Genomic DNA, 14,576 nt, shown 5'->3' with positions numbered 1-14,576 from the left:
ATATATAAATATATATAACTAATATATATAAATATATAAATATATATAACTAATATATGTAAATATATAAATAAATATATAAATAAATATATAAATAAATATATACAAATATATATAAATAAATATATAAATAAATATATAAAAATAAATATAAATAAATATATAAATAAATATATATAAATAAATATATATAAATAAATATATATAAATATATATATAAATAAATATATATATATATTTCCCATACAGCTAAGCCAAGGAAGACTGTGTATTTTTTTTTTTTGACATGAAGTCTCGTTCTTGTCCCCCAGGCTGGAGTGCAATGGCATGATCTCGGCTCACTGCAACTTCTGCCTCTTGGCTTCAAGCAATTCTCCTGCCTCAGCCTCCTGGGTAGCTGGGATTACAGGCACGTGCCACCACGCCTGGCTAATTTTTGTATTTTTAGTAGAGATGGGGTTTCACCATGTTGGCCAGGCTGGTCTTGAACTCCTGACCTCAGGTGATCCGCCTGCTTTGGCCTCCCAAAGTGCTGGGATTACAGGCGTGAGCCACTGTGCCCGGCCGGAAGACTGTGTATTTTGAAGTTACATGTTAAATCAAATACAATCATTCTTTAAGCAAGTATAATAAAGTGAAATGAAATAATTCAGGATGACATTGAGACAAGCAGGCTGGTTGGTTCCCTGTTTTAATATGAGCTGGAGAAAAATGATAAAAGCCCCTCACTCAAGCTCTAGCTTATCTAACTCTCAGTCAATCAGTAACAAAAGACCCAAGAAGCTCTTAATTGTAAGTTTTTATTTCAGAAGGTTAGGGTCTTCCCTGGAGCCACTGCATGCACAGTTAGAATTAAACTCCAACCTATAGTTACCCCTTCCTTATTTTAATGGTATAAATAGTTCCCAGGGGGGAAGACTTAAAATGCTAATGCTACATATGACATATGTAGCATGTTGCGCCACTGCCCAAGCTCTAGAAAAGTCCTGACAGAATCCTTCCCTATAGAAAGATCCTATAAAACTAACATACGCACTACCCTAATGGAGCATTCTTTTCCCCTCTCAGTGCTGGGACCCTTGTGCACAAGCTAAATAAACTTCATTTTTGCTGCTATAACTGGTAGTTTCTCTTGATTTCTATCCTGGGAGACTGCAAGAACCCAGTGCACCAGTAACAACATCTGCCATCACATTTTGATGAGGAGAAAAATGATGCCTACAGTTTAATCTGGTGCATACTTTGACTTCTCTGTGTTTCTTAAGAAGTCAAGTTTCTTTAAACATAGCTATTCAAATCTTTTTCCATGGTTTTGTGTTATTAATAGGCATATCAGTCCAACTAATAATTCACAGAAAATAACAGTGTATCATATTAATATCCTTAAAGAGTCAAAGGAAAAACATGCTCATTGTCTAGCATTGTTGAAGAAACATTTCATATAAATTAAGCACGCCTGAATAATAAAGTTGTGTTGTACCAATAAAGATTTTCACAGAGCTTAATTCCATTGACTTACTACTTCTTATTCATTTGGCTAAAGATGGTAGGTTTTTGCTTATATATTAATTTTATTTTACACAAAAACTACATCATATATTACCTATATGAAATTAAAAACTTAATGGTAAATACTTGAAGTCAATAAAAATATTTCTCTCGACATTCCTTTGCACATTAAGCTCTCCTAAAATGTCATGTTTCAGTTTTTGGATTAAAAGAATTTGTATTCAAACTGTCAATTCCATGAAGTAATGAATCAAGTGAGCATAAAATATTTTTCGAATCATTAAAATCAGATGCATGAGGTAATCATGACATTTTATATGAAAACTCACAATGTTTCTGTTTTTTATTAAAATATAATAAATTAGTTTTTTATAAAGGGTTACAGTTAATAAAATAGTTTAAAGAAAAGTAGTTTGATTTTTCATGAAAATTTTTCTATACGATTAATTTATCATTTTAAATAAAACTAATTTTAAAATATTAACAAGATTTGCATTAAATTGTACTTCTAACACTAAAATAATGTAATTTCTCAGCTTCTTAAAAATGTAAATGGTATTTATTGACAATTATAACTATAAGGTTTTTTTGTTTTTTTGTTTGTTTGTTTGTTTGTTTTTGAGACGGAGTCTGGCTCTGTAGCCCAGGCTGGAGTGCAGTGGCTCTATCTCCTATCTCGGCTCACTGCAAGCTCCACCTCCCGGGTTCATGCCATTCTCCTGCCTCAGCCTCCCAAGTAGCTGGGACTACAGGCGCCCACCACCACACCTGGCTAATTTTTTTTTTTATTATTTTTATTAGAGACGGGGTTTCATCGTGTTAGCCAGGATGGTCTCAATCTCCTGACCTCGTTGTCCGCCCACCTTGGCCTCCCAAAGTGCTGGGATTACAGGCGTGAGCCACCACGCCCTGGCCAACTATAAGGTTTTGTTTTGTTTTGTTTTGTTTTTGAGACAGAGTTTTGCTCTTGTTGCCCAGACTGGAGTGCAATGGCGCCATCTTGGCTCACCATAACCTCCACCTCCCAGGTTCAAGCTATTCTCCTGCCTCAGCCTCCAGAGTAGCTGGGATTACAGGCATGCGCCACCACGCTGGTCTAATTTTGTATTTTTAGTAGAGACAGGGTTTCTCCTTGTTGGTCAAGCTGGTCTCAAACTCCCGACCTCAGGTGATCCACCCACCTCGGCCTCCCAAAGTGCTGGGATTACAGGCGTGAGCTAGCACGCCTGGCCTGTTTTGTTTTTTGAGATGAAGTCTCGCTCTGTCGCCCAGGCTGAAGTGCAGTGGCACGATCTCGGCTCACTGTAATCTCCGCCTCCCATTTCAAGTAATTCTCCTGCCTCAGCCTCTCCGGTAGCTGGGATTACAGGCGCCCGCCAACACGCCTAACTAATTTTTGTGTTTTTAGTAGAGACAGGGTTTCACTATGCTGGTCAGGCTGGTCTCAAATTCAAATTCCTGACCTCAGTTGATCCACCTGCCTCAGCCTTTTAAAGTGCTGGGATTATGGGTGTGCACCACCATGCCGGGCCTATAAGTGTTTTTGTTGTTGTTGTTGTGTGTGTTTTTTTTTTTTTTTTTTTTAGATGGAGTCTTACTCTGTCGCCTAGGCTGGAGTGCAATGGCATGGTCTCTGCTCACTGCAAACTCCACCTCCTGGGTTCAAGCGATTCTCCTGCCTCAGTGTCCGGAATAGTTAGGATTACAGGCGCCCATCACCACACCCGGCTATTTATTTTTTGTATTTTTAGTAGAGATGGGGTTTCATCATGTTGGCCAGGCTGCTGTTGAACTCCTGACCTCGTGATCCACCTGCCTTGGCCTCCCAAAGTGCTGAGATTACAGGCATGAGCCACCGTGCCTGGTCAACTATAAGTATTTTTAACAGTTTATGGTTTTCAAATGATTAGTACTAGAATGAATCTTAAAAATCTAAAAATTTTACAATCTAAGCCCTTTATTATAGAATCAAGATTCAAAAAGATTACCTTTCCTAAGTTAGCATAGCTCATTAGCCCATAGAAGAACCAGGAATAACACCTGGATATCCAAATTTTCAATAGATGTGTATATACACTAAAGCATAAAAATCCTCAACATAGAGTTTAGATTAAAAATGTTTTGGTAAAAATAAAAAAGTCACTTAACAATATTATAAAACTTAGAGCAATCCAGTAAATATCTACATATAATTTATAAGTAAACTGAGGCTTGAGTAAATTAGAGGCTGTCGCAGCATTTTAATCCACCAGAAGTAAAGCTAGGTCTCAGAGCTCTCTTTGGCATTTTGAAATGACTCTCAAATGTGATAAAACTAGAGTCATGTCATATAAGTTCGTTTTCATACTGTTACAAAGAACTGGACAAGACTGCGTAATTTATAAAGGGAAGAAGTTTAATTCTCTCACAGTTCAGCATGGCTGGAGAGGACTCATTTAACTTAAAATTGTGGTGAAAGTCAAAAGGGAAGCAAGGCACCTTCTTCACAAGGTGGCGGGAAGAAGTATGGAGCAAAGGGTAAGAGCCACTTATAAAACCATCAGATCTCATGAGAACTCAGTCACTATCACAAGAACAGCATGGGGAAAACTGCCTCCATGAATCAGTTTCCTCCACTTGGTCTCTTCCTTGACACATGGGGATTATGGGGATTATAGGGATTGCAATTCAAGGTGAGATTTGGGTAGTGACCCAAAGGCTAGCCATATCACATGTTAATGCTTGTACTAGTCATAGAATCATATCTTTTTGGTAATTTTTATGCTTAAAAAACAATGACTTTAAAGTTGTCAATGCAAATGTTATTTCCATATGTTCTCATTACCTTACGAATGGTAAATTATATCATTAATGGAATGCCTACTCATTATACCTTATGTATTAACTATACGTGCACATATATGCATACAATGTGAACTGATAATGTAGAGGAAGAGCAAGTGATACCCCTATGACCCTGTCTTTCATTTTTTAATAGTGTTATTTTTAATAGTGTTATTCAATTGGCACATTCAAGATCTATCATGAACATCTTGATTACGATCAAAACACTTGAAAAGTATATCATATTTTTGTGCTTTAGGTAGAAAATTAGCTTTATCAAAATTAGGTGAGTTTGTGATGAAAATATCAATCATATTTAAAGAACATTGATTATTATTTCTTCATATACAAATGCTGATTTCAACAGAAGCTGTTGTTATACCACTGATTATATACTCATTTCCATTATGTCTAGTATTTCAGTCAACAATTTGGATGAAGATATACATGACAAATATTTCAAATTTGCAGATATTACTACTGTATATGATAGAACCAGTATTTCAATGTTATGAGATTAGGACAATGAGCAAAAAAAAAAAAAAAAAGAAAAAACTAATGTAAAATTAAACAGGAGTGAATGCAAAATCTGGCATGTAGCTTCAATCAGTTCATATTCATAGAATGGAATACATGAGGCTTACCACAATTCATTAAAATCAACCAGGTTTTCAGTAAACTTCAAATTAAGGCAAGCAATTAATTCCATGCAGTTACCAAAAAGCTAATAAACTTAAAGATTTTAAATGAAATTATAGAGTCTAGATAACAGAATTCTAATTTCAAATACTTTAAAGGCCAGGGAGGATATATAAGTAAGCAAAATAAATAGCAATAGAGTAATAGACAATGGTGTGATTGTAGTAACTGAAGAATACATGATTTCATTAGAGCCTTTTTTTTTTTCTCCATGTAAACACTGGGCCGCCTGAAGAACATGAATGTTCAGATTGAAATTGTGGTCTGAAATCTTAATTTTTGGATTCAGGTCAAGATCCTCAGAAATCACCACTAAAGAACTGATTCATGTAACCAAACACCACCTGTTCCCCCAAAATCTATTAAAAAAATTAAAAAGATCTTCTATAAGTAGATCAAATCAGACCCCAGATCTAGATACCGCACTGTAAGACTAACATGGACAAACTTGCAATTAAAATATATGAAAACCATAACAAGGGTTTGAAAATATAATAATTAATAGTTGAGGGAATTCAGAACTTTTAGGCTAGTGATGAGAAAAGTTATGAAAGAGATGATAGTTCTCTCCATATATTTGATGTATCTATAGTATGCAAAAGAAAGCAATTACTTAAGTCAGAATTAAGACAAATAAATGAAAATACTTAGGATACAAGTTTTGATCTTATAAGAACTTTCTAAAGACCATAACAATGAAAACAAAACAGAATAGATTGTCAATAAAAATAGTGACTCTTAACGAATTCATAAGGTACATTCAAGAATTGTTTGGATGATTAACTCAATAAATGTTATGATATCTCTAAAATGAACAGAATTTGGAAACTAATTTGTAATCTAACTTCTGTGTTTGCAGATGATACGGACATTAGAGATTACCACAGAGAAGGAACTTATCTGCAATGTGAGAGTTGGCTTTTAAAATACTTTAATTCAGCATCTTGATCCAACCTCAACAACATGCATTCAGAAATAGGGCATTTTCAATGTTTGTGTATATGTGTGTGTGTTTATGCAATTAAAAAGTGAAAATAATTATGAGAAAAATTGGTTGTGTTAGCAAACTATCCTAATTTAAAAGTCTATGATATTCTTTTTCATTATAAATAAACAAATTTTAAGGCCAGCACAGTTGGTTTTTTGGAAACTAGGAACACTACTAGACCATTGGTGCTGTGCTCTATAAACCAGCTACCATTGCTTTAGGAAATATCTCTATATGTCCCACTGCCAAGCTAAAGAGTGGTGTTTCAATATTTTGAGGTTACAAAAAAGAACGAAAGAAGGAAGGAAGGAAGGAAGGAAGGGTGGGGGGAGGAAGCGGGGGAAGGAGGGAGGAAGGAAGGAAAGAAGGAAGATTTTAACAATCTTAAGAAAATTTGACTATGAAAAAAAAACAGCACTGAATTTGATTTCAAAATAAGGAAATGTACAAAAACCCTGGAACGCAGGAAGTAACATAAAAGGAAAAATGGCTGCAAATTCAAAGAGTACCCAGGAAAATCCCACTAATATACATAAGACAGAATGGGCCCCTTGTAGTATCAGTATAAATCCCTTTGGTAAGTCAAGGACCACGATACTTTCTACATTTCTTACCCTCAAATATCATATTACTAAGCCATAGATGGAAAGTGTATCTGTATCCTGAAATAAATGTTTGAAGACTCTGATCTCCATCTTTCTGATAAAAAGATCAAAGTTGTTCCATCAATAGTCACTGTCTGCCTTATAAAAGGATTTAGCTTAAGTCTGCATTCTTTTTGCTATGTCAGGAATGAAAGACTAGTCAGAAAAGTATTTGGAGCAAAATTATATAGGACAATGACTTCATAATTTTTATACACAGTTAAGAAAAGGTAATCTTATATATTTCATATTTGTATCATCAGATGCTAGCCACAGTAAAATGTCTGCAGTCATTTTAATGGTTGCTATTTCATTTTGAAAAGCATATAATTCATATAAGCAAATATTCATATAAGCCTCTAATTTTGTTTGTTTTATTTTAATGCTAATATGAGACTTTTAATTCTACTCAATATTGTTAAAGAAGCAACATAGACTAAAAAATCTGAGAGAGATACTATAAATTTTAAAATCTATAAAACATCCTCTACTATGATAAGATCTTTGTTCCTTTAAAGACACGATGAAATAGCATATTTTGGAACTTTGATAATATTTGTCATTGCTTGATTTGTCCAATGTCCATTTTATTTTTAAAATTTCATTTTTGGGCTGGGTGAGGTGGCTCATGCCTGTAATACCTGCATTCTGGGAGGCCGGGGTGGGAGGATCACTTGAGCCCAGGAGCTCGAGACCAGCCTGGGCAACATAGGGAGATCTCGTTTCTACAAAAAATTTAGAAACTAGCTGAGCATGGTGGTGAACACTTGTGGTCCCAGCTACTCAGGAGGATCAGTTCAAGCCAGGAGGTTGAGGTTGCAGCGAGCCATTACCATGCCACTGCACTGCAGCCTGGGTGACAGGGTGAGGCCCTGTTTGAAGAAACAAACAAAAGATCATTTCCCTATGAAAATAGCAGCCACCTTTACCAATTTCTTTGCTTTGGCTAATCACTTAGTAGGAGTCAGAGCAAAATTGTCTGCTAGAAATGCAAAATATAAATTACTTTAATATCAAATTTTCTTTTTTTTTTTGAGACAGAGCCTCACTCTGTTGCCCGGCTGGAGTGCAGTGGCGTGATCCCGGCTCACTGCAACCTCCACCTCCCAGGTTCAAGCTATTGTCCTGCCTCAGCCTCCCGAGTAGCTGGGCACGTGCCGTCACGCTCAGCTAATTTTTGTATTTTTAGTAGTGATGGGCTTTCACCATGTTGGCCAGGATGGTCTCAATCTCTTGACCTCGAGATCTGCCTGCCTTGGCCTCCCAAAGTGTTGGGATTACAGGCATGAGCCATCAAATTTTCCTTCAAATATCAAAAGTCTAATTGAAGAATGTTCAAAATTTTGTCGATAATACTTATATCTAGTTGAGATTTGGTCCCAATATATTTAAATAATTGAACAATTCTATTCTCTTCTCTATAGAGCTCTGGGACCATGTTTATTACCATGGCAACCAGTGTGAAAGATCCAACAGAGGTAGGCAGAGATCATTCTTTTACTTAAATACAATAATAAAGTGAATTGAAAACTAAGGCATTTAAAGCACCTGTACAATTTATTCTGAAATTAATATTCTCTCTGAAGCATTTAAACAGGAATTTTAGAAAGGTTTTGAAATGAGAGACTAATCCCAAATCACTTCTGTATTGTTTTAACCTTTCCTTCTAGATTAATCGTTCTCATGATCTGCTATTGGTATGAAAAGGAATGCTTTCTCTTTGGTATGGACAATAATAGAAAGCTTCCTGTAATCTTATTAGTCAAATTATTTAGCGAGTGTATGGCAAGAGTGGTCTTTAAAAGACACAATTGCATGGTTACAGAGCACATTGACATTGGCAAAGAATACTTATGGAAAGAGAATGACCAAAATAACACATGTACCCTGGAAAAAGCTGCCACTTTGCACAATAATTACAATTCAACAAGGGGACATACACCTTCCTTAGCATTGGATCACCAAAAACACATGATTCATTATGGCTTCTTCTACATCTCCTTATTTTTCTCTTCCTATGAAATTTAAGAACTACTGAATGAGCTGCACGGTCCTTAAACTGGGCAATACGTTTTAAAGGAAACATTTTGACCCTTCCTGTATTGTTAACCCAGCTAACGTTAGCTGAAATCAGAGATCATGGGTTCTACTGAAGGCAACTTAGGCTAAATGTATTCGTAAATACATTTAGGATGCTTTTTCAATTCAGTGCTTTCTCAGATGTTCTGTGGAATGGTGAGAAAAAATTAAAATGTCAGAGAAAGAAAAACTGCCAACCAGAGAGGAAATGATTTTAACATCTCCTGGATCATCTAGAGAAGGATTGGGCATGCAAGAATTGTCAGCTGTGCAGATTGTTCTGCTATAATCAAGCCCCCAAAAAACTGAGGAAGGAAAATTTGTAATAAATGACTAACCATGCATGAGTGACTTGCAACATATGTATACGATGCTATTTTTTCCTTATTTATTCACATTCAGCATTTATTTAATACCTACTATTTTTGAAACTATTTAAATATTTAAGCATTGGTGACAGATCTATGAAGGGTCTATTTCGATATGAGTAACGTTCTGCATATATAGAGACACAAATGGCTACACTCATTTTATTTCCAAAAGATTTGAAAGATAATTATATATTGATAAATAGATATATACATATGTATCATAGACATACATATTTCTGCCTTCCTAGGAATAGGCAATAGAGGCAATTGTGGCAGATAAATCATTAGCAATATCAGGAATAATAAAATAAGTACGGGGAATGACAAATTTGTGAAATCCATTATTTATAACATGGCAATAAAGAAATCATGCTGTATTATTACCAAACACAAACAATAACTGACTTAAATGTGACTTTAATGAAATAGCAATTAATACAGTTCCATAGAAGAGGTGTCATAATGGCTAGGCCATTTTTATTTGCAATTACTTTTCAGGAACGTTTTCATATGTAAATATAAATAAGTGTATTGTATGCCGTAGAGAGAGTTGAAAAAAGGTTAACATCTTTAAAAAAATACTCTCAATTATTTTAATTCTCTTGTAATATTGATTATATAGTAGACAATGTATGCATATGGAAAATTTCAAACTAATTATTTCACTGGTAAGTAACAGCAGCATTAATACTAGTTATCCATTATTTATACTATTTCTAAACTATAAAAAGTCTACAATGCTGAGCAATAATAGTAGAGTCTCATGGTTTATTATCAGACTAAATTTATCTTTTGCAGATGGAACAAACTGCATTAAACAAGAAGGCAAATACCTTTATTTTGGCAATGCAATGTTTAGAATTTTTTTCTTCCAAAATTATCAACAAAGTAGACCATATATTTAGAGAATAATCTGTGTCCTTCATCCTCCCAGAGGAGACAACCAGAAGGAACAGATTGCAGTGTGGGAGACAGCACAGGCATGAAGAGTTACTTCCTATCTGCAAGTTAATAATTGTGCTTTGTGGTTTGACAGGCCAATGATAGGTTTAGATAAGAAAACCATTCCTGTCCTTAAAAATCAAAGTTTCTGTAGTAACATACTGCATATGGGTCCTATAAAATCATTTTCTACACAAAGTCATCTAATTCAAGATCTGTCCTATTTTATTGAGATAAGAAATTATTAAAATGTGAAGCTCTAAAAATAGTGGCTTATAATTGAGAGGCTAATTCTCTCTTAATTATAGGTATGCTACAGTGGCACTATAATTAGGGATGATCAGTAACTCCAAAATGATTCAGACTTTATCATTCACTCTGTACAAGGATGTGCATGGGTTCCATAAACAGAAAACTGCAGAAAATGAAGACATAGACTAATTTTCCTCACATCTCTTGGTGGTTACAAGATTGTTCTCCATTTACTCTCTCTTTCAAGCAAAACAAAGTAAATATTTCATGAATGTTTCGTTTAATGATCATCACTGAAGAAAAGTATAGATTTTAAATTAGAAAATCTGCAGCTTAAATTGAACTTCTCCAACAATTACATACTCACTGACTTTACTAAAGTAATATTAATATAATATGGTTTGCTATTATTTACCTGAAATCTGAAAATATCTTAGACTTTAACGGAAAGAAAAACATCATGTCAGTACAAAACAGATCCCTAACTATTAAATAAAATAGTCATCTTATAAATTTATATGAAGTGCTTTTATCTCAACAAGAATATACTTTTATGAAACAATTAACATTGAGACAAAAGACTAGGAGTTCCAAATTCTGAATTCTATTTTAGAATTGGCCATTAATTTCTAAATGGTCTCAACATATTTTTTATCTTTCAGTTAGTTATTATTTGAAATGTAGACAATGACCTAACTTCTCAAATCCATGTCTGCGATGCTAAATCCAAATCTCTGGCTATGACGAAAACCAACCGTTGACTTGATAAACTCAGTGATAGCAGAAAATTTAACAATAATATAACTAATAAAATTCCTAGTTATAAAAGAGTATAAAAAGGAAAAAGCTATCACTAAAGGCAAATTAAGCCACATTACAAAACATGAAGATAAATGTTAGAACTTTAAAGATTAGCAAGTGGTAAAAGTGTATTATTGCATGTGTAATCTGCTATTTTACTAGGTCTTGGCTCCAAAAGTAAGCATAATGAATGGGCAGAGAACAAAGTAAGCAATACATGTTTTCAGCCTGGCTTTAGCCCACTTCACCCATAACCCTTTCCTGGTCAGGCTGGGCACCATAATAATCAGTCTGTCAGCTTTCACTCTGTTCTGTATCTACCTTACACAGAAGCCCCAAAATTCCTTAGGACCAAAGGAAAGTTGAGAGAGGATGAACCCAAGACCTGTGGTGAATGTTAATTTTAGGAATAGAAACAAGAATTTCCCTTGCCACATTTTTCCACAGAAAGTCAGTAATTCAACCACACTACAGCCAATAGACATATTACAGTTGACCCTATGATTTAAGGAAACAATATTAATGAAAATCAAATATTTTTGTCTTTAAAATGTCTCTAAATTGGCTTCATTTTGTTCAATATTTTATACAACATTCTATGAAAAAAGTTATTGACTCAAAGGGAATCTGTTATTCAATTTCCCTATACTAATTCAGTAACTCTGTGTGAAAGGTATGATACTGGATGGATACAGTTGGAAAGCCATAGTATCCTAGAAAACATTTTGAGAACCAGAAGCAAAAATAATATTTTCCTTACTATTATCATCATGGCATCTAATTATCAAATATTATTGTAATACAGTTAGAAAAATTGCTCAAAATTACTCATGAACTAGCAACATTTTTATTTAATTCAACTTGAAGAAACAAAACTTTTATATACATAATTTCCCAAATTGCAACCGTGTCATATATTTCAATGAAATAATTAACATATACAGTTCCTATTCTCTTTGGTGATGCATGCTGTTTTATTGGCTTCTCTTTTTTGTTACAAACAGAATAATGTGATTTTAAACAAGTTTGAGCCCACACTCTTCTTTCTCTAGATAAGGAGACGCTCACTACAACATTATATGCACTGAGACCTAGCCAATGTCATTTCATCAACAGTTCCTTTTGGAGATAGTTTGAGAGGAACTGTGAGGACTTGCTTGGGTTTCAACCGTGTCTCTAGCATTACACAAACAAGTGTGGATGTAACCAAGAACAGAGCATGAAGGCAGTGAAGTAAATCCAGAGATTTTGCTGCACGAGGAAAAATAGTGTATGGAAAGAACCCTGGCTAGGAGGAAAAGACCTCAGCATACTTATTAGTTGCATGAATGTGATCAAATACCCCAAAATATCTGAGCTTCTGTTTAATAATGCACAGATATCAAACAAAAATCATTGCCCTGACTATCAGACAGAAATATTGTTAGATTAAAAGAGGTAATGGATAAGAAACTTCTTTGGGGAGCTATACTGATAGATAGAAGTCATCAATTTGCCTAACTATCCAACATCACTTCTCTATTACTCTAGGGAAGAAAAGCTCCACAACCTTATACAACCTCCACGATTGCATATTGGAACAAATGGGCTCCATGAAGTTAGTGCACTGAAACAAAAGAGTAGCAACATTCTTTTCCCAAACTCAACTAGCTTTCTTGTCTTGTCTACTAGGGAATGTGAATACACTGGCCATATAATTCTGGCACCTTGGTGATTAAGACACGTGTTTCTATGATTGACTCAGTGAAGATATACTGAAAAGCTTTGTGAATGTGAATGTGTAGTAGTGAAAAGTAGCTGACACTACTACTGTCCAAACAAGGTAATAACTGAAACTCTCCATAGATGCATGCTCAACTGGAAGAGAGAGTCTGAAAATAATTAAGATTATTTTAATCAACATAAGTAGCACCAAGTAAATCCTGTTATAACAGGCATCTGCATCATTCTCATAGATCTCATTTACTTCAAGAGGGAGCACCTCATTTTTCCAAATAAGATAAAAGCAAGCTACACTGCATACAAATATTAAAAATGCTTTCAAATGCACTTCTAATTGAGGAACATACATTTTTAAACCGAGTATTCATACACATATTGCATATATGTTTAGAAATGATAATACATTTTCATTAGTAAGAAATCTACATTACAAGATTCATTCTAAAATCTGCATTAAAGTAAAAAAAGCTGCTGATGGTCCACATTTTTGCACTTATATTGAGGTACCTAATTAATTCATCAAGGTCCTGGACTCTTCACATACACCCAAGTTACTATCTGTTATTAGCCATGGTTCTACCACCCCCACTCCCAGAACCCTTTCTCCCATAGTATCTTCAGCTGAAGTGAAGTTATTCAGAAAAGAGATCAGAGGTAATGTAGCATGAGATAGTCTTCAAATTTTGATGGCCATTTGAAGGTCCTAATCCTAATTCCGGAATAAGCTGGACTAGATTTCACTGAAACTCAGATATATTCGAATATATTTGTAGATTATCAGAGACCATTATATGTCACATATATTGGCTTCAGACCTAAGTTAATCAGCTGTATTTAAACATTTTCATAGAAAGAGTTGTTTTATACACACAATAGTAGAAAGAAAGAAAATTATGCCAACATCAGGTCCTTGGGCTTATCCTATAAACAGAGCATAAGAACAAAAGTTAAAAGAAAAAAGTAACCTACATCTAATAGACACAGTATAAATATACTACATATTTTAAAAGTTAGGAAGTGGAGAGCCTTTGTTGGCTTTTCCTTGGAAGCTTTGCACAGAAAATTCAGAATCGACACATATGAACATAGTCTGTTTCCTCACACATAATTAACATAATTGGTTTGAATGTGAGTTTTTCAATTATAAACTAGGTAAGATACATGCAGTCATATTTATTTAAAATCAAATAAAAATAAGATGTTTTGCTGAAAGCATAATAATCTAAACTTAACTACTATACTTTGCTTCAATTTTGTTCCAAAAGGACAATCAATTTTTGTAAAACAGATTTCATTGCAACATTGTGATTTTTCTCCTAAGGAGTCAGGAATCAGAAACTAGAGCTGGACCGAAGTATCAGGATAGGGAAGGGTCAGAAACAGAGACAAAGTCAAGAAAAGAAATAGAATTAGGGGTGCTTTCACATAGTACCTTGGAATTGACTATGGGAGGGAAACAAAGTTTAAATAGGTTAAATTTCAGGAACAAAATCAGAAACTACAAAGCAGAATCTCTTACCCTGAAAAACTCTTTAGTGGAGCCAGAGTCTAATGTTCCATAAGCAATTTCTGTTTGCTTAGAAAGATCCTCAGCACTTTCGATGGGAGACACCATCCTCTCTACAGTCAGGAAGGCAGCTAAGTTAGCCGTGTAGGAGGAGATTATGATCAGGGTAAAGAACCACCACACACCTCCAACAATGCGCCCAGAGAGGGATCTAATAACAAGTATGAAATGGATTTGTA

The 14,576-nt window shown here is 34.6% G+C and overlaps 1 protein-coding gene across 7 annotated transcripts in view; it reads right to left on the bottom strand.

Annotated features, from left to right (window-relative positions):
- The window catches only part of GRIA2 (glutamate ionotropic receptor AMPA type subunit 2), a 145,956-nt gene that overhangs the window by 10,264 nt on the left and 121,116 nt on the right, over positions 1 to 14,576 (bottom strand). For all 7 annotated transcript variants that reach the window (XR_007096394.1, NM_001379000.3, XM_047450131.1 and 4 more), the window contains exon 12: positions 14,350 to 14,548. Coding sequence is in view for 6 of the 7 variants with exons in the window: in NM_001379000.3 (NP_001365929.3) it covers positions 14,350 to 14,548 (199 nt within the window). In the remaining variant the exon portion in view is untranslated. The remainder of the gene's footprint in view (positions 1 to 14,349; positions 14,549 to 14,576) is intronic.

Source organism: Homo sapiens, chromosome 4 (genome assembly GCF_000001405.40).
Source record: "Homo sapiens chromosome 4, GRCh38.p14 Primary Assembly".
NCBI classification, from domain to species: Eukaryota; Metazoa; Chordata; class Mammalia; order Primates; family Hominidae; genus Homo; species Homo sapiens.
This window is presented reverse-complemented; position numbering and strand designations above follow the sequence as displayed.